The sequence below is a fragment of the Homo sapiens genome, chromosome 3 (assembly GCF_000001405.40).
Source record: "Homo sapiens chromosome 3, GRCh38.p14 Primary Assembly".
Taxonomy (NCBI): Eukaryota; Metazoa; Chordata; class Mammalia; order Primates; family Hominidae; genus Homo; species Homo sapiens.
The window spans coordinates 124,843,911-124,868,215 of record NC_000003.12 but is presented as its reverse complement, the minus strand read 5'-3'; the positions used below and the strand labels follow the sequence as shown (position 1 = coordinate 124,868,215).

Below are 24,305 nucleotides of genomic sequence, written 5' to 3'. Positions count from 1 at the left end.
AGACTGGGTAATTTATAAAGGAAAGGGGTTGAATTGACTCACAGTTCGCCATGGCTGGGGAGGCCTCAGGAAACTTACAACCGTGGTGGAAGGTGAAGGGGAAGCAATGCACCTTCTTCACAAGGTGTCAGGAAGGAGAAGTGCTGAGCAAAGGGGGAAGAGCCCCTTATGAAACTATCAGATCTCAGGAGAACTCACTCACCATCAAGAGAACAGCATAGGGGAAACCGCCCCCATGATTCAGTTACCTCCACTTGGTTTCTCCCTTGATATGTGAGGATTATGGGAATTATAGGGATTACAATTCAACATGAGATTTGGGTGGGAACACAAAGCCTAACCATATCAACACACAACAAATCCCAGCAGTTTATGATCTATTTTGTCCATCATTTTTTAAAATGGACATTTTGTTTCCCCTCTAACATTGTAAATTTTACAACCTAGCCAGTTGTCATGAGGAATGTGCCTGGAGGAGAGTGTGCGGATGCTTTCAAGCAGGGCCTAGGGGTAGCCCACATTCTTCCTACTAGCACTGTTGCCTAAAACCCAGCCACATGGCAATGCCTAACTGCAATGAGAACTGGGAGACTTGCTCTAGCTTTGTGCCCCAGAAGAAAGGGAGAATGGGCTTGGTGTACTGGCAGCTTATGCTCGTGTCACTCGCAAGAGGACAGTGGTTTGGGAGAAGTGGGCAAGGCTGAGGGATCAGTGCTCCCTGTGAGAACAGAAAGCAGGGTTGGGGAAAGCAAGAAAGGAGGCAAAGGCAGACAGAGAGATTGCACTTAGGGTTTGCAGAAGTTGGGAGGTTGTCAGGGTGTGAATACGAGGCTCCGTGAAATGGTGTGGCTGTGGGCAGTACCAGGCTGCTGTGAAATCCGGGAGAAGGACCAGGTTAGGCAAGGCCACCACTGTGGAGCTGAATTCCCACAGGGAGAAGAACAGTGAGGCCATGGATGCATGGAAATGGGGTCGGGCATGGGAGAAGACTAGTGAAAAGAACAGTGAGGCCATGGATGCATGGAAATGGGGTCGGGCATGGGAGAAGACTAGTGAAGTCTGGGCTGGGGTGAGCGGTCTTTGCCTGGGGAAGTGGATGTGGAGAAGAAGCAATGAAGCATCAGTAGGATTGGAGGTAGGAGCATGAGGAGGGAGACAGGTGAGAGGCTGGGAAGCAAGATGGGCCAACTGAAATGAAAAGAATCAATATTCAATCCAGCTCACATAAACTATAGATTCTTTAAAGAACATCTCCTTGTGGTCAGATTCAATGAAAGAAATAATATTGGCCTGTTGTAGACACTTCATAAATATTTGTTCAGTGAATTAATAAGTCCATTGAAAGCTGGCAGAGGGATTTCTCCATCCCCCAGGCAGGGAGTATACGTGGCAGTGTGTTGCTGGCACACAACACACATCTTGGTTGTCATCAGCTACCTTCCCCTCAAATCCCTGAGGGTTCTGCCAAGTTGGAGCTGCAGGTGTGGCTGGTCAGGGGGCCAGGCCCTGCCATATCCCAGCCAGAAAGGTCGGCCTTAGCAAGAAGCCAGCTCCCCGCCTGTGTCCACTTCTCCCCTGGGCTCTCTGCCTTTTTCCCAGTTTGTTTTCTTCCCTCTTCATCCCAGGGATTGGGCATGCTGGCCTCCTTTCTTGCTTGGGTTCCTTTTGTTCAAGGGCCTACAGTTTCTCAACTCTTCTACTCTGTTTCAGAAACAAACAAGAATTTGTCTTTTCCCCCAAAACAATCACCCTCACCTTTTTAGAGTTTTAGCCTTCAGCAATGGTAGGCAGGATGGCACTCAAATAATGTAATGTCTGGTCTGGCATAGAGGAACCTGAATGCACTGGCTGTGATGCTGGACAGCCAAGCACCCATTGAACACTAGCTTTGACTGCAGGGTAAGAGACCTTGATTAGCAAAAAATATGTAGGGAGCTGGGCATGGTGGCTCATGCCTGTAATCCCAGCACTTTGGGAGGCTGAAGCGGGTGGATCACTTGAACTCAGGAGTTCAAGACCAGCCTGGCCAACATGGTGAAACCCCATCTCTACTAAAAATACAAAAATTAGCCAGGCATAGCAGTCCCAGCTATTCGGGAGGCTGAGGCATGAGAATCACTTGACCCCAGGAGGCAGAAGTTGCAGTGAGCCGAGATCATACCACTGCACTCCAGCCTAGGTGACAGAGCGAGATTCCATCTCAAAAACAAACAAACAAAATATATATGGAGTCAGGTGTTAACATATTATAATAAGTAGCAGACCTCATCTTATCCTCCATGTAACAGTGATGATGGGGTGAGTGAGCATGGTGGCTTACAATAAGTTGCAAACACCAGTGTTGTAACAAACTAAAAACAATCTAAATTTTAAACACCTCTCTTTTCTCTTTTATATTATTACCACTTAGTAACTAAAAGCAGCAAAAGGCCAGGCATGGTGGCTCACGCCTATAATCCCAGCACTTTGGGAGGCTGAGGCGAGAGGATTGCTTGAGCCCAGGAGTTGTAGACCAGCCTGGGCAACATAGTGAGACCTGGTCTCTACAAAAAAAGTAAAAAATCAGTGGGATGTGGTGGCACCTGCCTGTAGTCCCAGCTACTTGGGAGGCTGAGGTGGGGAGACAGCTTGAGCCTAGGAAGTTGAAGCTGCAGTGAGTGGTGATCACGTCACTGCACTCCAGCCTAGACGACAGAGCGAGACCCAGTCTCTCAAAAAAAAAAAAAAAAAAAAAGAAAAAAGCCGCAAAGGACACTTCAACTTTCTATTGCCATTCTGCTGCTTTTCCCCTTTGGAGAGTTTGATAAGGGCATTTCTGGAGACCAGGGATCAATGCTTTGTTTGTGTACAGGAACCTCTTCCAGCATAGAGCATGGGGAGCATCTGCAAGCAGTTGTGTTGTGGCCCATTAGAAGCCCATCCTTCTTGCTTGGGTTCCTTTTGTTCAAGGAACAAAAGGTTGCCATTTTTGCCTGTTGAGATGAAGTCTCCCCTCCTCTTCTATAGGTTGAGGCTCCTCTGTACCTGTTTCTCTGCAAAAGGATATTTATCCCTCATGTTTGGTAGGTAACAGATCTCTGAATTTGGGGCAGCAAAGAAATGCTGCCTTCAGAAGGATGGAAGCTTTGGGCCCAAAGTTAGTTTCCTGCTGCAGAACTTGGCAGTGGCCTTGGCTAAAATGGGAGGCGGCACATGCTGCAAAGAGCACTGGATTTGGGCCCAAGAAGCCAGGGCCAGATGAACTTCAACTTCTTGGGTGAACTTAGGTCTGTGGACCTCTGATTCCCCACCTGTGGAAGCCAGGGGATGGCACCAGGTGATGCAGTCAAGGGCCCTTCCCCTTGGAACTTGCTATGTCTGACACCTGGCAGAGGGTCTGAGTGTCAGGTCTCTGGGATCTGAAACTGTTACGCCATCAGACATCAGGATGTCATTCATGTGAGGAGGACTTTCTTTTTCTTTTTTTTTTCAACTTTCATGTTAGATACAGAGGGTATATGTGCAGGTTTGTTATATGGGTATATTGCACTCTAAGTAGTGAGCGTAGTACCCATTAAGTAGTTTTTCGACCCATAAACTCTCCTGTCCCAGTAGTTCACAGTATCTGTTGTTCCCATGTTTATGTCTGTGGGTGCTCAATGTTTAGGTCCCACTGATAAGGGAAAACGTAGTATTTGGTTTTCTGTTCCTGCATTAATTTGCTTAGGAAGGAGGATTTTCTTAAACATCAGTCTGCCTTTTCTCTAAGGCTTTATGATATGAGGCATCCGTATTCATTGAATATGGAGCTTAGAAATATAGGTATTGAGGGGCCGGATGTGGTGGCTCACACCTGTAATCCCAGCACTTTGGGAGGCTGAGGCGGGTGGATCATGAGGTCAGGAGATCGAGACTATTCTAGCAAACACGGTGAAACCCTGTCTCTACTAAAAATACAAAAAATTAACTGGGCGTGGTGGCGGGCACCTGTAGTCCCAGCTACTCCAGAGGCTGAGGCAGGAGAATGGCTTGAACCGGGAGGCGGACCTTGCAGTGAGCTGAGATCGTGTCACTGCACTCCAGCCTGGATGACAGAGCAAGACTCCATCTCAAAAAAAAAAAAAAAAAAAAAAAAAAAAAGAAATATAGGTCTTGAGACATTTTTTCTTTCTTTCTTTCTTTCTTTTTCTTTTTTCTTTTCTTTCTTTCTTTCTTCTTTCTTTCTCCTCTCTCTCTCTTTCTTTTTTTTCTTTTTTTTTCTTTTTTTACCTTAAACTACTAAGGGTTAAGAGACATTTTCCAGATTTATAATGTTTGTATACCTGGAAGGTCATAGCCATTACTAGATATGCCCCTGGTCTCTGTCATTTTGGTTTTCTCTCTTTAAATATGCATCTATCCTTGTTCAAAATTAAAATATCTAGGCCAGGTGTTGTGGCTTATGCCTGTAAGCCCAGCATTTTGGGCGGCCATGGCGATCATCTGAGGTCAGGAGTTCAAGACCAGCCTGGTCAACATGGCAAAACACTGTCTCTACTAAAAATACAAAAATTAGCCAGGCATAGTAGCACATGCTTGTAATCCCAGCTACTCCGGAGGCTAAGGTGGCGGGATCACTTGAACCCAGGAAGCAGAGGTTGCAGTGAGCTGAGATTACACCACTGCACTCCAGCCTGGGTGACAGAGTGAGACTCCGTCTCAAAAATGAAAATAAAAATACTTAGAAAGGAACACATGGAATAGAGGCGAAGCTCTTGGCTTGTGACCTAACTCCCTCTGTTGAGTCCGCAGCACTCTCAGTTCCTTTTCTTGGGCAACAAGAACCTATAGCTACAAATCAGTTATGGCTTACTCTTTCCTTATCGGGTCAAAAATAAATCAAAAGAAATTAGTCACAGCAATTGTTTGGACTCCGTGCCAAAAGAGATCTTTACCTCTTAGGGGAATTTCCCTGTTAAGGTAGCTGCCTTACCCTCAAAAGCTTCTTCAGACCTGCCTTGCCCCGTGGTGCCTCAGCTAGTGGCTCTGAGTCCCTAGAGCTCTGGGAAAATAATGACAGGACTCGATATATAGGTAAAGATGCCTCAAAGTTGTTGAGCACATCAACAAAACCATATGGCCTGACCTAGATAGCAAGAAAGCGAACTTTGACACTGATGATAGAGATGCCTGGCACTGAGAAGAAATCTAACTTTGGTCCGCGTGGCATATGGTGTGTCCTTTGCTGTCTATAAAGCTGGAGTTGCTGAGAATAGGACTCCCTTTGTACCATCATGTTGCTGACTTGGTCTGTGCTTCCGAAGTCAGTGCAACCCTGCAAGTTGCAGCTTTAATGTGATTAATGGTGGTTTCCACACTGGCAACCAGGTGACAGTGCAGGAGCCCATGATTCTTGTTGTTGGTGCAGCTAACTTTAGGGAAGCCTCGTATGCACTGGAGCTGAGGTTTATCACAACCTCAGCTGAAGAATGTTTTTAAGGAGAAACATGGGAAAACTGCTACCAGTGAAGGGCATGAAGAGGGCTTTGCTCCTAACATCCTAGAGAATAAAGAAGCCCCAGAGCTGCTACAGCATGCACTTGGGAAAGCCAGCGACACTACTAGGGTTGTAATAGGCACTGACCTGTCCGCCTCACAGTTCTTCAGGTCTGGGAAATATGATTTGGACTTTAAGTCTCCTGATGGTCCCAGCAGATACATTTGGCCCTGTACAAGTTCTTCTGCAATGATGGGTAGTATCCATCAAAAATCCCTTTGAGCAGGATGTTGGGAAGCTCAGATGAAGTTCACTGCCAGTGCAAGTATCCCAGCAGTGGGGGGGATCATCTCATTGACCAAACTGAAGGAATTGTGCACCTGCCTCCTGCTTAGGTGAAGCAGGTTGGCTCTGTGCCCTAGTCTATTCCAGAGTGTAAGCTGGTCCAGACCAGTGAGAGAGGTGTCAGGGGTTCTCATTACTCTGAAAAAACTGACCATGCTTCCGTTGCCACCCTGGTGGTGGGGCTGTGCACTGGACTGATCAAAACAGGTGCACCTTGACAAACAGAACTGGGCCAAGTATAGTCAGTTCCTCAGAAGCAGAGGGGCTGGATAGCAAGGCTCAGTTCGCCAGTGAGAAATTCAGAAATTCTCTAGCAGAGTAAGCACTGGGCAGGCAAGCCCCTGAGCTCTTCAAGCTCTGGAAAGCTAATTAGACATCTACTTCAGACAGCTCAAGACAGCAGACCCAAACTGGCAGGGCCCTCAGGTCGTTACCCCTCCTTTTCCAGAACCCTGTGTTTTTCTTCTCACTGCTTCACTAGAACTGCTATATCAGAGCCAAGCTTGACCACCTGGAACCCCATTTAGAAAGTTCTGCTTTTAAATCTAAGGCCAGAGGCCGGGTGCACTGGCTCACGCCTGTAATTCCAGCATTTTGGGAGGCCGAGGCGGGCAGATCATAAGGTCAGGAGATCGAGGCCATCCTGGCCAACATGGTGAAAGCCCGTCTCTACTAAAAATACAAAAATTAGCTGGGCATGGTGGTGCGTGGCTGTAATCCCAGCTACTCGGGAGGCTGAGGCAGGAGAATTGCTTGAACCAGGGAGTCGGAGGTTGCAGTGAGCTGAGATTGCGCCACTGTACTCCAGTCTGGTGACAGAGCAAGACTGTGTCTAAAAAAAAAAAAAAAAATCTAAGGCCAGAATAATATATATATGTGTATCTCTCTGTGTGTGTGTGTGTGTGTGTGTGTGTGTGTGTATATATATATATATGTTTTGTTTTGTTTTTTTAACAAAGTCTCACTGTCGCTCAGGCTGGAGTGCAGTGGCATGGATCATAGCCCACTGCAGCCCGGAGCTCCTGGGCTCGAGCGATCCTCCCGCCTCAGCCTCCTAAAATGCTGGCATGAGCCACCATGGCTGGCTAGAAAACTCATTTTTCTAACCTTGTTGCACAACAAGTGTTTATGGAGCCACTTATACCTTTGATGTAGTCCTGGAGGTTGTTGACAGGCAAGATCCTCGGGGATTTAATGCACAAATAAAAAATCGTTATTAAAAAAAAACAACCCAGAATATAAACAAACATACCGTAGGCTTAGGACAATACATCTGGCTTTACTTATTTAAAAACACTGCAGCGTCTTCTTGACTTCTTGTTCTTTTTTGTGTTTGTTTTTTGTTTTTCTGAGACAGGCTCTTGCTCTGTCGCCCAGGCAGGAGTGCAGTGGCACAATCGCAGTTCACTGCAGCGTTGAACTCCCAGCCCAAATGATCCTCCTGCCTCAAGTCTCTCAAAGTGCTGGGATTACAGGTGTGAGCCACCACACCAGGCTGACTTCTTGATCTTGAATTTTATAAGGATTCTAAAGGGCATTGGGTAGTTCCAGGACATCTGAGACCTTGAGGGAGGGTGCATTCCTCTGATTTTTGTGCCTCTGCCAGCAGTCTGGCTTCTAACAAAGTGGTCAAGGGATGCTGACTCACATGAGGCTTCTGGCAAAGTGTTCCAGAGGGAAGAGGAAGGGACCAGTGTCCTAACTCCTCCAGAAAGACTCATAGGACAGCATTGGCTTCCAGCCTGCCAGAGTGGGGGGAATCTTGTTTTTCACATTCACCAGGGAAAAGGTGAAACCCCTTTGCCGGAAATGACCAGGGAGGCTTCATGATTTATAATAAAGTATATTGTTTCATTTTAAAGTTAATACCTTAACCTTCTGGTGTCCCAAATGAGGTTGAGTTGTTCTGATGTCCAGCTTTCTCCCAAACCCAAAGAAAGATTTTTCTTATCAATGTGTCGTTATCATACAAACAACAAAGATAAAAACAAAAATGTTTTTGTCACTTTACTATAACACCTCATTTAAAATTGTTCTTTCAAATCCTAATAAATACAATTCTATATTTTGGGTTTTTTTTTCCTCCTTAGTGTAAATATTTTAAATTTCTTCTTAATTCCCATAATTATTTGTAATGGCTGTCATCTATTGAAGTGATATGCTATGTTATTCTTATGGTTTAAGGATTTAGGTTTGCAAGTTTTAAAGATTATATTATAAGTAATACTGCCGTATATATCACATAGAGTTTCTCCTTTCTCTTTAGATGATTTTCTTGTAATAAGTTTCTTGGAGTAGAGCACTGGGTCAGTGGATATGACCTGTACTGCCACATTGTTCTCCTGAATGATTATCCAGCATCCAATGCCTGTGAAAGATGATAAGTGAACAACTTAAAGGTTAACTCTTGAATGCCCAAGGGAAGACTTTTCAGCTACTTATATGTCATCTTATTTATTTAACTATATATTATTTCATCTACTTATTTATTTATTTTTAGAGAGGAGGTCTCATTATGTTGCCCAGGCTGGTCTCAAACTCTTGATCTCAAGCGATCCTCCCACCTCAGTCTCCCAAATAGCTGGGATTACAGGCATGAGCCACCATGCCCAGCAATATATAACAACTTTTAAAAAATTTTAGCTATACAACTTCTGATCATTTCTGTTTCTCTTGCTAATCATGTAGGCAGTTAGGAGCATTTTAACCATCAAAATAACAACAAAACCGAACATTTTTATTATGTGTTTACAGTTTACAAAATGCTGTCATGTCCAGCAGCTCAGTTAATCCTTACAATACTTGGTGAAGCATCTGGGATAGGGATTACCATTTCCTCCATTTTCAGACAATGAAAATGGAAAGTAGAGAATTTAAGGTCAACCAGATGGAGACGCAGCCACGACATGCGATGTTTTCGGGAGACACCCTGACCACCTCCTGCTCTCTTCCTCTTTTTCCCTGCCTAGGACTTCGGAAGCCCACGGTCCATCACCTCTCGGTGTGATCTGAGGGCAAACCTTGTCAAAAATGGCTGTGGAGGTGAGATAGAGAGCCCAGCCAGCAGCTTCCATGTCCTGAGGAGCCTGCCCCTCAGCAGCAAGGGTTCGGGCTCTGCAGGCTGGGACGTCATTCAGATGACACCACAGGAGATTGCCGTGAACCTCCGGCCCGGTGAGTTGCCCACAGAAAGGGCTGGATGCTCTGGGATCAGGAAGGCCCATGGGGGAGGTGGGACTTGTTAATAATGGGACAATGAGTCAGGCCAGGCTGAGATCAGAGCCACGAGATGGTGATGGGGAGGCAAGGCTCAGACCTCAGGAAGCAGAGTATATTCTTATTGATGTGTCTGTGGACAGGCTCCTGTGGACAGAGGAAGATCTTTGCTATTTTTAAACAATTGTGGTGAAATATACATAACATTTACCATTTAAGCGTTTTCAAGTGTACAGTTCAGCAGCATTAAATTCACAATATTGTATAAACATCAGCAGTATCTATTTCCGGAACATTTTCGTCGTCCTAAACAGAAAATCTATACCCATTAAACATTAACTCCTCATTCTCTCTTTCCCTTGGTTCCTGGTAACCAGCATTCTACTTTATTTTTTATTTTTCATTTATTTTTGTTTTTAAATTTTGTTTAAATCAGGGAGCAACTGATGGCAGAAATTACAGTCATTCAGGGTGTAGTGGCTGCCTACTCTACTTTCCGACTCTGAACTTGACTAGTCCAGATACCTACCATAAGTGGAATCATCCAATATTTGTCCTTTGAAGTTTGACTTGTTTCACTAAGTGTAATGTTTTCAAGTTTCACACATATTTTGGCATGTGTCAGCACTTCATTCCTTTTTTGGCTGAGTAATATTTCATTGTATGGGTGTATCACATTTTGTTTATTCATTTGTCAGTGAACATTTAGGTTGTCTTCAACTTTTGGCTCTTGTGAATAATGCTGTGGTTTATTCTAGGAGGATGCTGGTAGATTTACTCCTTAGTGAATGCAAGTTGCTCAGGAAACACGCCACTTTTAGGAAAAAGTGTTTTTTCCTGTCAGCAAATTCCATTTGAGTCTGTAGCATTCTGCAAGGACAAACTTTTAGAGTGGAGATATTTTGTTTTGTGACCATGGGGCCCTGCAAGCCTTAGAGTTGCTTAATATAAGGAAACGGTAATATAATTACTTATAATGTAATATAAAGAAACAGTTTTGCACACCTACTATGTGCTAAACACTTGACCTAACTTTAAGGTAGCTATCTTTTTTTTTTTTTTTTTTGAGATGGGGTATCGCTCTGTCACCCAGGCTGGAGTGCAATGGCACAGTCTTGGCTCATTGCAACCTTCACCTCCCGGGTTCAAGAGATTCTCCTGCCTCAGCCTCCCTAATAGCTGGATGTGTACCACCACGCCCAGCTAATTTTTTTGTGTGTGTGTTTTTAGTAGAGATGGGGTTTCACCATGTTGGCCAGGCTGGCCTTGAACTCCTGACCTCAGGTGATCTACCTTCCTCGGCCTCCCAAAGTGCTGGGGTTACAGGCGTGAACCACCATGCCTGGCCAGGTAGCTCTCATTTTACACACAAGGAAACAACCTGCTCAAGGTCTCTCAGTAAGTGGTGAATCGATTCAGCCCCAGGTCTTGGTAACCACAAACCCATGGCTGTTTCTAGTTCACCACTTTTATCATTGAATATTCTGCATATTAGAAGCCTTGCAATGTCAAAGGGTTAGATGTGCATGTGGCTAAATTGGAAAGTATTACGCTATTGGGAAGGGGCAGATTTTTTCACATTTTACTGATTTTTTGCTGTTTTCTTCTATCCCATGGTCTAGGAAACCATTGGCAGTAGCTATTTGTAGATGGTTTATTTAGACTCCAGGGAAGCTTGTAGCAGTGGAAAGATCATGGATCTGGCTGGCTCTCTTGGGTTCTAGCTCTGGCTCTGTCCCTAGCTTGGAGGCCCTGGGCAAGTTACTCCATCTCTCAGCATCTTAGGGTCTTTGTCACCTTTGTTCCTCATGGGCATGTTCAGAGGCTTAAATGGACTTTTTGTATCAGTGAACTTTTCAAAGTTAAAATTTTTATTATTTTCAAAGAGCAGTGGCCGAGGGTACCAGATGGAGGTTTGACCAGGGATGCTCAGTGCCTTGGAAATGGATTAACACAGTGCTGCATGTGGTAAGCACTCAGTAAAGCTCGTTGTTGTTGCTGTGGTTATCATTGTATGGTCTGCACCAAGAGTTTTTAAAGAAAGCTCCAAGTCATCATATAGTTGAGAAATGTTTTATTTTGTCTATTTTAATTGTCTTGAAAATAAGAAACAAAAGAAGAGTGTAAGTTGGCCCTGCTGGATAGAGAAGCTTAAACTATTGGGTTGCCTGCCCAGGAATCAGTGTTGAGATTAATTGAAGTTAGGATTTTTGCAAACCTTCTCACTGTAAGCAACACTCAGCCTTTTTGTTTAGTGAGATACTGAATTGAGAGAGAAAAGGAAGGGAACTCTTACAGAGCTGTGTGAGTGGGTAGAAAAAAGTCAGCTGAGCACTTATGTGGGCAGATGGTTGGTAATGTCCTCTGGGGAAAGAGAAATCTCTTATGTGAAGACAGACTCAGGGTCCAGGGTTTGGACCGAAAGGGATATAGGAGTTGTTATAGACCCTTAATATGTTGGAACATCGTGTTGTATAAGAATAGTGTATTTTCTTTTTTATCATAGTAACAGTATAGCAATAACACATGAAATTCTAGAAAAATAATCCACTTTAACATAAAATTATTTTTCATTTTTACTATGTCCTCTGTATTATTCACCTTTTTGTATTTTTCATATACTTATCATAATGTATGTATAATCGTGCTATTTTCATTCAATAATCTTTGAAAATTAGGAAAAAAATTCACACCTCCAAAAGAGTTTGTAGTTTCAGAGCCATTGTGGAGGAAGGTTTTAATTTACATTTTCTGAACTCCTCATCTAGAATAGCTCTCAAAGCCTGTGGTGTTCTCTCCAAGAAGTATCCTTTATGGTGGCAAGTCTCTCTTCTTCAGGATAGACTTAACTTAGACAAGAGTTGCATCACACAAATCCAAAGATGTCCACACTTTAATAATTCCAGTTTTTAAAATGAGAATTAAGGTGTGAGTGTGAGCAGAGATGGTTGTCTGGTTTGACTATCAACTGGCTTTTACAGCAGTTCCTGTAGAAGAGTTAGAGAGTTAGAGAAGGCCGGGTGTGGTGGCTTATGCCTGTAATCTCAGTGGTTTGGGAGGCCAAGGAGAGAGGATCGATTGAGGTCAGAAATCTGAGACCAGCCTGGGCAACATAGTGAGACCCCGTTGCTATGGGGGAGACTGAGGTGGAAGGATCCCTTGAACCCAGGAGTTTGAGGCTCCAGTCTAGATGAAGATGAGACTCTAAAAAACAAAAACAACAACAACAACAAGAACCCAAAATAAAAAATAAGTGATTTGAGTAACGGCAGGTTTGCATACAATCCGTATTTATGCATAAAACTCAATATATGCTCAGTTAAGGAAGAAAATCATTCTTATTTGGTATAGTTACATCTCCTGCTAAGCATTATGATATGATTTCTGGTATTAGAAATAAAATGGAAACCGTGATCCTATGTTGATACAAAACCACAGTGTGGATGCTGTGTAGCTCTGTCTTGCGGAAGGTGTCGTGGTGGAGAGCCCAGTGCTGGTGGTGTCAAGCAGTTGGAGGAGCTGACTGCCTCCTGAAAACACACCCAGACTATGAAGAGGGTTCAGTCTGAAGAGATGAAGACTAGGAAGAGATCTGATGAAAATACGAGTTCCTAAGACCTACAAGCATTGTGAATATGTTTCCCAAATGTAGAAACACTTGAAACCAATGATGCCTCTTAAAATTTTGAAAATATAATTTTAACATTTACAAAGAGAAGTACAGGCAAACCTGAAGAATTTGTGGGGAGAGAAAAATGGTATGTGGCAGTTAGCAAAATTTTCAGTCATGCAAAATGCATATTTGCCTCAGGGTATCTCCCCCCTGACTCTAGGGAGGGCTTTCAGGTATATAGGGGTTGGTTTTTCATATATCTATCTATATATATGTAGAGAGAGACAGAGTCTCGCTCTGTCGCCCAGGCTGGAGTGCAGTGACGTGATTTCAGCTAACTGCAGCCTCCAGGTTCAAGCGATTCTTATGCCTTAGCCTTCTGAGTAGCTAGGACTGCAGGCACACACCACCACACCTGGCTAATTTTTGTATTTTTAGTAGAGACGGGGTTTCACCATGTTGGCCAAGCTGGTCTCGAACTCCTGGGCTCAAGTCATCTGCCCACCTCGGCCTCCCAAAGTACTGGGATTACAGGTGTGAGCCACTGCGCTGGGCCTCCATTGTATATTTTTAGAAATGCTTTTGTGTCTTCTTCCTTGCCCTACCCCCCATGCCTCATAATAGTTATTCGTTGAGTGAAATATAAGACTTTGCCAGACTTATCGCAGACTAATCAAGGACAAGCCTCAGCATAATATGAAAGACACTTCATGAAGGCAAAGTAATTGTTCCAAGGTAAGTCTCAGGAAGGAAATAAAAATTAAAAAGAATTTCTGTCTACTTTAAGCAGGACATTTTTTATTTTTTTAAATTGAGATATAATTCACAGACCATAAAATTCACTAACTTAAGGTGTACAATTCAGTGGTTCTTAGTATATTTGCAAGGTTGTACAGTCAACACCACTGTCTGATTCCAGAACATTTTCCAAAAAGAAGTCCCATACCCGTGAACAGTTACTGCTTAAACTACCGTCTCCCACCCTCCCCTTTCAGCCGCTGGTATCCACTCGTCTACTTTCTCTCTATATAGTTTTGCATATTCTGGACATTTCCTATACGTCATAAAATGTGTGGGTCTTTTAGCTGGTTTCTTTCACTTAGCAACATGTTTCAAGGTTCATCCATGTTGTAGCATGTACTTCATTCCTTTTTATGGCCAAATAATATTCCATTGTGGAGGTATAGATATACTATATTTTAGTTTATGGACATTTGGGCTGTTTCTACTTTGGGACAATTCTTTTTTCTTTTAATAACTCCACAGTTAACACCCTATACTTTGGGGCAATTATGACTAATGCTGCTATGAACGTTCATGTACACACTATTGTGGGGACATATGTTTTCAATAATCTTGGGTCTATAGCTAGGAGTGGAATTGCTGGGTCATATGGTAATTCTATGTTTAACTTTTTGAAGGACTGCCAAGCTTCAAGCAGGATTTTGTGTAAATATAGGATCATGTTTTCCATTTTATTTCAGTACTGGAAACTACATGTCAGGATAAGAACCTTAGAAAAAATCATTAACAAAGAGCATAAAATCCTTAAGAAAGGACATAAACTTGAAAGTAAAGCTTATTGAGAACCGTCAAAAGCTAAAGGTGGTTTTGAAACACTGAGCAATTAAGAATAGTTTATTAAAGTCATTATTGGCCTCAGTCCTTTAACCTCTTAAAAAATGACCCTTGATTGGTAGCTTTCTTACATTTTGAAATAATTTTAGACTCACAAGAAGTTGCAAAAGTAACACAGAGATGTTCTATGTACCCTTCTCCGCTGTCCTCAATGATAGCATCTTAATATAACAAAAGTACATTCTCAAAACCAGGAAACCAACATGGTTACAATACTATTAACTAAACTACAGGTAATTGGTTGCTTTTGGGTTTCCTGCCAGCCCCTATTTTTTTCCTCCCTTCTCCTTCCAGGTTCTACTTGGAAGAACCAGTTTTTAGGTATTGCTTCTGCAATAAAGTTGCCACCCTGGGTGACAGTGTACATAGCTTAAATAGACGAAGAAAGTCTTTTGATGATGGCTGGATAAGGGGTTATTTTAAAGGAAACCAGAAGTATCGAGCCCTGGGCTTGGAGGCAGACACTGTGGAGGACAACTGTGTCTTCAGGTGACTTGTTCCTTGGTTCCATAGGTCAACAGTCACAATTCTGAGGTGGAGAGGGGGTGCAGTACAGCCTGGCATCCTTGTTCTAAACCAGTGAGGCAATAATTTGGTTCTAGATCTGGATTTAATCCTGGGATACTAAGTGCCTTCTGCTGTAGTGACTGGAAGAGCTGTCTGCTCATTTATAATGTGTGCACCAGGGCCTTAATTTTCTGTTCAGTTGTAGTCCTGTTATAATAGAGTTGATTTTTATGTTTCCCTTCTTTCTTTCAGTTTCCAGCACAGAATAGTACTTCTAGGGAATCAAAAACCATTTGCATTTATTTTGGGATGGCAAAGGTCTTTATTTGCTGAGGTACTACTTTGTCTTAACACTTTGAACAAAATCAGTCTTAAGAGTTTTTGACTCAAAGGCAGGAAACCTGAGGGAAAAGAAGAAAGAAGAAAAAATAAATAAAAATTAAAAAAAGTTTTTGAGGCTGGGCATGTGGCTCACACCTATAATCCCAGCACTTTGGGAGGCTGAAGGGGAGGATCACTTGAGCTCAGGAGTTTGAGGCCAGCCTGGGCAACATGGCAGGACTTTGTCTCTACTAATAATTTTAAAATTAGCCAGGCATGATGGCACATGCTTATAGTCCCAGCTACTTGGGAGGCTGAGGTGGGAGGATTGCTTGAGCCTGGGAGGTTGAGGCTGCAGTGAGCTGTGGTTGTGCCACTGTACTCTAGCCTGGGTGACAGAACAAGACCGTGTCTCAAAAAACAAAAAAGTTTTTGCTGGAATTCTCAACTCATTCTCTAGAAGTGTTTGTCATTTGATATATATCCCTAAGGAAAATGCCAACTTTTCACTTTTTATTAAAGGGAAGGCAAAGAGAAGAAAGCTTTAAAAATACATTTCAGATAGAATGCTAGTTGATACCCGATTACAGTGGAAGAACCTGTACTTACAAACTGAGCAGTGCAGAAATTCTGTGCAAAATGCAGTTGGAGCTGGCTACTCTGGAACCAGGAACAAGCAGAAGGACATGAGGGGGGCTGCCTGGGGTAGCATTTCACAGGTGCCAGGTGATCAGCTTCTGTTTTGAGTTTGCCATTTCTCTGGTCCTGCCCCTGGTCCTGAGGCTGGCAGGAATTACGTGGAACAGCCCCAGAGAGAAGGGATATAGCTACAGGGATACATGAGCCTGTAGAGACCCTAAGTGGAGAGGGAAGGAGCAGAGAAGGATGAATCCTGACACATGGGCCGGGATGGTGTCACCAGAGACGGGCACAGACCAAGACAGGCAAATTAAAGGCGAGAAGCGCTTCCCACTCTGCCGGGCAGCGGGAGGTGGCGATTGGCTTAAAGTCTCGGGTGTTTTTAAAGGAAAGCAGCGTGGCCGGGAAGGAGTTGGAAGGGAGGAGAGTGCTTAAGCGTGCATGGTTCTGGAAGTGTACCCAAAGTTGGAAAACATACCCAAGACCTTCTCTCAGCAGAAAGTGCACTTCACATGCATTAATGGCTTCACCTTCAGGCTGTTAACGTTAGAGGCCTCCCTTTTTGGGGAGTTGTTGGTACACTGGAAGCTTAATGCCCACACCATGGATCTGACCAGGAATGTCAGTCCCTCCAGGATCTGCTGACAGAACATTCTGTCATTGCCACGGCCTATTCAGGAGTCTGTGGCATTTAAAATCAAGTATATTAGAGGCAGCAATAAACCCTCATTCTGAACATCAGTGGTGTTACCATCTTTCTTACATCCCTCTCTTTCTGGAAAAATGGCACACTATTTCTTTTTAACAACTGCAGCCTTCCTTTGGGAAGGGATGTGTGCGTGTGTGTGTGTGTGTGTGTGTGTGTGTGTGTGTTTTCTTACTGATCAATTTCTCTTAGAATGTAATGCCAAGAAGTTTCTTGCTTCAGAATAGATAGCCTCTTAGGATACAAAGGGACCTATATATCATGCCTTCTTTCCCTCAGCCCTCATGTCTGGAAAATTTAGGGTTAAATTTGTATGCCCAAGGCTGTAGCTGTTGAAATTCAAGTTGCTGGCAGGATTTTCTGTCTCTCTTTTTATCCTCACAGGAAATTGCTTCAGTAATTGACTTTTGGGAAAACCGAGGCCAAAGTTTTCTTTGTGTAGGAACATTTGTGTGGTGTTTATCTCTTTTAATCCCTATAATAGTTAATATCCTCCCCACTTGACTGATGCAGAAACCGAGCAGTGAGTTGAAGAGAGCCTGAGTTCTCCCTAGTCCTTGGTGACAGGGTCTGGATTCAAACCCAGCTTTCCTGCTTCCAAGCCTCTATCCCATAGATGCCTCTCAGCCTCCCGGAATCCAAGCCAATTATTTGTTTCCTGGTTTTAAAGTGCCCATCTGTTAATTTCTTATAATTCGTAAAAAAGTAGAAGTAGATTTTGGATAAAATAAGTTGTAGGTGGGAACTTGGGGGGACAGGTGGCAGAAAATGCAGAAGACCTGTGAAAAGATCATGGCATCAGGCAGAGGAAATAGGATTGCAGGCTCTGTCCATTTGGGGTCTGTTGTCTGCCCATGCAAGGGCCAAGGAGGGAGCTCCCTTCCCCCAACTCCCCCCTCTTCCCTGCCCCTCCCTCACTGTGATGTGGCACCCAAGGAGCCCTCTGGCGGGACAAGCTGTGTCTGTCTGACCAAAGGCAGACACTGCAGCAGCCTGGAATTCATTCTGGAAGAAAACCTTGAACATTCCTCTGTTTGAGTCAGACTCTGATGGTTTTTTTTTTTGTTTTTTTAAATTATTATTATTATACTTTAATTTTAGGGTACATGGGCACAATGTGCGGGTTAGTTACATATGTATACATGTGCCATGCTGGTGCGCTGCACCCACTAACTCGTCATCTAGCATTAGGTATATCTCCCAATGCTATCCCTCCCCCCTCCCCCCACCCCATGGTTTTAAAAAATAGGCTTATACCAATAGGCAACTCAAACTCCATCAATCCTGAGGCGCCTAGAACAGTACACGCAAAGACAAGTCAGGGGAAGCAGGCTCAGAGCTGCCACTCTGACTGCAAGCAGTAATGATCATAATCATACTTCATCCGTGCAAGCCTGTACTGCTCATAAAACACTGCTCTCCCTCATGAGCGCATCATAGGCTTAATTGATGCTGTGAGCATTGTTACTTCCATTTTATATTTCAAGAAACCGTGGCCCAGGTTGCACTCCTATTCAAGGGACAGAGCTGGAACTTGAACTAAAATCTTTTGATCATTGGATTCTTCGTGATCTAGTTAGTGAAATATGCCTTGTTGTCACGGTGGGAGGAGGAGAGGAAGCATAGAGGATTGAGTTCCCTGCAAGTTAAAGAAGGCTTCAGCTTGCTAGTTGTCAGCTTGAGATGAAAGACTGGTTGCTCTGAGATGTGGCTGCCGGCAAGTCAGGTGTAGACCCGCTGGGCAGGAGTGAGGCCACCTTTGCTGTTGTGCCTCTACACACACAAAGAATCTATCCAAATTTCAAGTATGTGTAGACAGTTCTACTGCAGGATAAATAGGGCATCTCTTGGCACTCCTGAAAGGTTAATAAGCCCAAGGCAGATAGAATGATCTGGTATGAGTTGAGCCTTAAAGTTGGTTCTAAGTGATTTGTTTTTAGAAATTATGAAATGATTTCAAGATCATTATCGTGGCCTGGGTCTTCCAGTTATTGCCCTGACTTGAGCCTCTCTTTGAACTCTATAGGGTGAGACAGAAAAGGCCACACCTGCCAGACACTAGCTTTTCTCTTTGTTCTTTTCCTCTGAATTAATTCCCCTTTTCTCTGCCTGTTGGCTATCTTATTGTAGCTGGTAGACAAATCTAGTGCTGTCTTTTCTCTTTCTTCTTGTTTTCTTTTTTCGATAGAGCTAAAATTTGGAATCTGTCTTCCTGTATTTATATATGTAGTTTCCAATGATAATGAGTTGTGCCTGTGATGTCCCAAAACATCAAATATGCCCCCCAAATAAATACTAGTCTGGTAAATGGCGAGAGAAATAGAAACAAACACAGGTGATGTGGCATAAGCATGCATATTTTTGCCCATTGGGGTATTTTAAACAACGATCTTTGTTTCTCTGCCCTCCCTTGCCTTGCACATCTCTCTCCCCAACTTGGTTCTTCCCCACTCAGGCCCACACCCCTCTTTTGTTCATTTCTTCCCTGCTTTTTGTTTCAAACGCACATTCCCATCGTGACTGGGTCTTTCTCTGGAGTTGGTATGTGGTTGGTGGGCTACTCTCCACCCAGTTTGTGTTCATGAAATTGTCTGGTTCACTGTCCACTGATTACTCAAGGGTCTTTGTTGCTGAGAAGACAGAACACTACCAAGGAGCCTGGTTGTTAAGGAGTTTCCTTAGAAATGCTAAGCCCAGGCCAGGCGTGGTGGCTCACACCTGTAATCCCAGCACTTTGGGAGGCTGAGGTAGGTGGATCACTTGAGGCCAGGAGTTGGATACCAGCCTGGTCAACATAGTGAAACCCCGTCTCTACTAAAAATGCAAAAATTAGCCAGGCATGGTGGTGGGCACCTGTAATCCCAGCTACTCAGGAGGCTGAGGCATGAGAATCGCTTGAACCTGGTAGGCAGAGGTTGCAGTGAGCCAAGATCGCACCACTGCACTCCAGCCTGGGCGACAGAGCAACACTGTCTCAAAAAAAATAAAATAAAATAAAAAAAGAAGTGCTAAGCCGAATGTTTAGGAAGGAGAACCCAGGCCTCCATTCTCAGCACCGTATTCCCTTCAGGCACTTTACTTCCAAGAAAAATCTTCTGTGAGGCACACAATCACTAAAGAAAAGTAAGAGGCAAACTAGCTTTGAAAGCAAATCCCATCCCTCAGCCCTCAGCAGGTTGCACAACCTCTAACACACGTGGCCTCTCTGTTGGTGCAGGTGACAAGACCACCTTCCAGCTACAGGTTCGCCAGGTGGAGGACTATCCTGTGGACCTGTACTACCTGATGGACCTCTCCCTGTCCATGAAGGATGACTTGGACAATATCCGGAGCCTGGGCACCAAACTCGCGGAGGAGATGAGGAAGCTCACCAGCAACTTCCGGTTGGGATTTGGGTCTTTTGTTGATAAGGACATCTCTCCTTTCTCCTACACGGCACCGAGGTACCAGACCAATCCGTGCATTGGGTAAGTGACCAGTTGCCCTTCTGTTGGGTACTTAAGGGTGGGAGAATGGAGAAGCAGGAAAATTTAGCTCAAAGAAAGAATTAAGGAAGGCATGGTTAGGAGGGGTGGCCAGGCTTAGGCGTTTAATTTGATTAATGATAAGCATACATTCTCTCCTTTCCTGACGTGTGAAGAAGTGAGTGAACTGTCACAAGGTTGTAAAGATAAAATGATCACAACCCCTTGATTTTCCTGCCTGCCATGCACAGCACCATTTGCTCACATTAATAGAATTCAGAAAATGTCCTCAGGGAGTGATGGATCCAGATTATCAGGGAGGCAGCAGGCAGGGCAACTTAAACTTTCCCCTTGCTTGTAGTAACTGAGGTGCTTTGGGAGAAATGAATTCAAAATTTGTCCCTGTTGTTTTTCTATAAATAACTATAACTTATTTTCACATAATTAGATTAAAATCCTATTTTAAATGTAAGAATTTTTTTTTCAACATAAACACCTGAACTAGAAAAGATTTGACATATTATTAGAAAACAGGTGTCTCTAACTGCTGCCAGATTCTATAATAACAAAGTGTATAATGGCTCAAACTTGCTGGAAGTTTATTTCCTGCTCCTCAAGTCCAACTGGGTCTCTTCATCCATGGAACTTCTCCTGCAAGCAGTGACTCAGGGACTCAGGTGCTTTCCATCTTCCAGGCTTTACCATCTTCCACACATGGCTCCTAAGGTCATGCTGCCTAGAGGGTCATGCATAGGAGGATAGGCCTTTGCCATGCCCGCTCCCACATGCTATTAGACGGAACAGGACTGAGCCAGGAGGCTGGGAACTAGTGTAGCTGTAGGCCCAGGAATCAGAAGAAATAGGATTAGTGAGCAGGTCTCTGCCATGGGACGTTTGTATGCATGCTGGGGTGGGTGGTTGTATGAGGGGATTGCATTCTTCAGCCCATGCAACACAACCTCTACTAGGTTGGTTTCTTTTCTTTTTAGTCTTTCAGGAGTTTCTTTAAATGTCAAGATTATGCAAGTGACTGCAGTGAGTGGTAACTTCCAACTCTTGCTTTCCTCATCTCCACATTTAACTTTAGTGAGGGTTTGTGTTGTAAGGTCCAAAACTAGTCATGAGATAGGAAATAACTAAGACTTAAGTTTTTACTAAGTGTCAAGCCCCATACTAAATATTTTCTGTGGATTATCTCATTTAAATCTCATAACAATCTGTTGAGGTCTCTAAGGTAAGTGTAAGCCAGATTTTAGAGATGCAGAAACTGAGGCCTAGAGAGAATAACTTACCCAATATTATACAAACAGCAAGGGGTAGAGCTGGAATATGAATACAGACAAACTACTTTTAGAGTCTGCATTTGCATTTTTTTTTGAGACGGAGTCTTGCTCTGTTGCCCAGGCTGGAGTGCAGTGGTGCAATCTCGGCTCCCTGCAACCTCCGCCTCCCGGGTTCAAGCCGATTCTCCTGCCCCAGTCTCCTGAGTAGCTGAGATTATAGGTGCCTGCCACCACACCTGGCTGATTTTTGTATTTTTAGTAGAGATGGGGTTTCACCATGTTGGCCAGGCTGGTCTTGAACTCCTGACGTCAAGCGACCCATCCACCTCAGCCTCCCAAAGTGCTGGGATTACAGGCATGAGCCACTGCATCCGGCCTGCGTTTGCGTTTAATATAATGTCTTCTTCCCCATTCAAATCACACTACAACACAGACACTTTACCTTAGGCTGAGTAATAATACCTGTCCCTAAACCACCCTACCCCCATGTCCTAGGGGCTTACCTGAGGATCATGGTAGGTTATGCTGCAGTAACGTAGAGTCTCCAAATCTCAGTGGCTCAACACAATGAACGTTTTTTTTTTGTTGGTTTTTTTTTTTTTTGCTTGTGCAACATCTGATGAGGGCTGAGCTGCTTTCCTTGGCAGCTCTCCATGCAGTAACTCAGGGATCCAGCTCCTTCCATCTTGTGATGCCATTCTCAATTCTTGGTCTTCCAGCTGCCACCAAGGGGAGAGAGCTGTTCTTAAATCCCTGAGCCCTCCCCTCTCCACAAGTCCTCTTTGGTAGCCTTCAGAGCTCCTAGCTCCAAGTTGGGCTGGGTGATAGGAGCAAGTTAGTGTGCTGGTGGCATAGGCTCTTCTGAATCCCTCCAGATCCTTCTGTATACTCTCCCAGAAGCTGACTTAGATCTTTTCAGGTATTGGGAACTGACACTGGTGGAAAAACAGACAAGAAAAAGTTTTAAATACAAATGAACTCTAAATTCTTTAACCACGAAGAGGCACTAGGCATCATCATTTGCTGGGTTTAGCTTCCTCCTGGCGACAGGTGGCCACAGGGACTATTACTACTTTGATTCTGTCTCCAAGGCCCTTTTCAGCTAAGTCTGGGTGTCAAATGTTTTTGTTGAAATTTTGCTGCTTACCAGGAGCAACAGCATCTTAACTGCAAGCCTTAAGCCTTTTTTCAATTCATCTGAAATAGTGATTTTATTTGCTTCTTTTCACCTCTGTCCTAATTGGGCCCTGTCTCCAGACAGATAGGGTGTGTCCCCACTTTCATTCTTCCAAGGCCCTTCCACTGACCGAGACACTAGATTGGAAGCTGGCAGAGAATCAAGGGCTGGCTCTAGGCGCTCAGCATTTAAATATTCAAAGTTATGACACATCATTACTTATTCAGAGCTCACTCTCTAAGTCCTCTAAGGCAGAGCCTGTTGCAGACAGTAAAACTCCTGACAGTGAGTACAAGGCACACTGAAAAGCTACTTGTAAGGCAGGAAGTCCAGTGAAGAATGAGAATGTGGAAGGAAACCTCGGGCCTGAGTTATGTGAAGCTCTCTTCTCTGAGCTGGGGAGGCACACGCAGCGTGGGGGCACACTGTGGCTTGGTGAGCAGGCCGAGCTTTGTCTCCCCACGTCCAGGCAGCACGGCATCCTGTGTCTCCTGGGTTCAAGTGATTCTCCTGCCTCAGCCTCCTGAGTAGCTGGTATTACAGGCACGTGCCACCACACCCAGCTAATTTTTGTATTTTTTAGTAGAGATGGGGTTTCACCATGTTGGCCAGGCTGGTCTTGAGCTCCTGACCTCAGGTGATCCACCCACCTCAGCTTCCCAAAGTGCTGAGATTACAGGGGTGGGCCACCACGCCCAGCCTAAAGTATTTTAAATTATTCTGTTTCTGTTTCTTGAATTGTGGATCCTTCAGGTGGATCCACAGCCAGTCAGTGTATTGGACCTGCTGACATGCCTTCATGAATTGTTTTTCATGCAATTTATAAGCTTTTCATTAGCTCTTCCTTGGAGGTTGTGGGGGCATCCCTGCAGAGCAGTTTTATGTTTGCCGTTGTCGAGAATCTCCAGGTTCACCGTGGGACTAGTTTTTCTGTTAATTTTTCAAATGGAGATGTCTTCACCATAAAAGCAGTGTATTCCAATTGCTCAGGCCTGGAGTTACAGTTTTTATGGGTAATTCATCTCATTCATGGTAGATGGTCAGCTTCCGTGCTGCTTTCCTAGACCAGTAGCTGGAGTTTTTCTGTTTCTGGTTTTAGTAGCACAGCAGCTCATTGTGCTGTTCGGCTTTATGCAGACAGCCCTATTCCAGTGTTCAGCCCTCTGCAGGACTGAGGCTCAGCATCTATTCCTGGTAGACCCTGCTCCAAGCCTGTAGGGCCTCAGTCAAGGCCTGACCCATTGCGGGGGTCCTTGGCATGAGTGCCTGCCCATTTCCTACCTTTTTTTTTTGAGACCGAGTCTTGCTCTGTTACTCAGGCTGGAGTGCAGTGGCGGGATCTCAGCTCACTGCAACCTCCACCTCCTGGGTTCAAGTGATTATCCTGACTCAGCCTCCTGAGTAGCTGGGATTACAGGTGCCCACCACCATGCCCAGCTAATTTTTGTATTTTTAGTAGAGATGGCGTTTCACCACGTTGGCCAGGCTGGTCTTGAACTCCTGACCTCAGGTGATCTGCCTGCCTCAGCCTCCTAAAGTGCTGAGATTACAGGCGTGAGCCACTGCACCCAGCCCCCACCTATTCTTTTAAGTCCATTCATTTGTTTTTTGGTGTTTTCTTTTTTTTTTTTTTTTTTTTTTTTTTTGCCAAAACCAAATACTTCTGAAAGGTCCATTCATTTATTGAATGGTTTCCTCTTCGTTTCTGGGATTTACTTTCTAAGCTTCCAGCCTAGGCTATATATTAAAAAATTTTAAATTACATTTTATCCAGCAGTTGTATATGTTTAGAGTTAGAAGAAGCAGATAAGATGTTTTCATTCCTGTTCCATGACATGGAGAGCCTTTCCATGTCAGCTTGATCCATGATATTCTCCTGAGGCATTAGATTGTTTTCTGGATTTGCCTAGGTCTGGTGTCTTCAAATTGGATTCACTTTTT

General features: G+C 44.1%; 1 protein-coding gene and 1 pseudogene across 10 annotated transcripts in view, besides 2 other annotated features; both read left to right on the top strand.

Annotated features, from left to right (window-relative positions):
- Positions 1–24,305, top strand: part of ITGB5 (integrin subunit beta 5) — a 139,471-nt gene that overhangs the window by 33,203 nt on the left and 81,963 nt on the right. For all 10 annotated transcript variants that reach the window (NM_001354766.2, NM_001354764.2, NM_001354765.1 and 7 more), the window contains exons 3-4: positions 8,770–8,974; positions 19,658–19,907. In NM_001354766.2, the coding sequence (NP_001341695.1) occupies positions 8,938–8,974; positions 19,658–19,907 (287 nt within the window). In that variant the 5' untranslated portion in view covers positions 8,770–8,937. The remainder of the gene's footprint in view (positions 1–8,769; positions 8,975–19,657; positions 19,908–24,305) is intronic.
- Positions 4,900–6,119, top strand: ENO1P3 (enolase 1 pseudogene 3; annotated as a pseudogene).
- Positions 8,871–9,408: an enhancer, noted in NCBI's record as "H3K27ac-H3K4me1 hESC enhancer chr3:124577655-124578192 (GRCh37/hg19 assembly coordinates)". NCBI's record gives its function as "activates a minimal SCP1, AML or CMV promoter by ChIP-STARR-seq in primed H9 embryonic stem cells {active_cell/tissue: H9 hESC(primed)}" and the evidence as "EXISTENCE:reporter gene assay evidence [ECO:0000049][PMID:30033119]".
- Positions 22,405–22,904: an enhancer, noted in NCBI's record as "H3K4me1 hESC enhancer chr3:124564159-124564658 (GRCh37/hg19 assembly coordinates)". NCBI's record gives its function as "activates a minimal SCP1, AML or CMV promoter by ChIP-STARR-seq in naive H9 embryonic stem cells {active_cell/tissue: H9 hESC(naive)}" and the evidence as "EXISTENCE:reporter gene assay evidence [ECO:0000049][PMID:30033119]".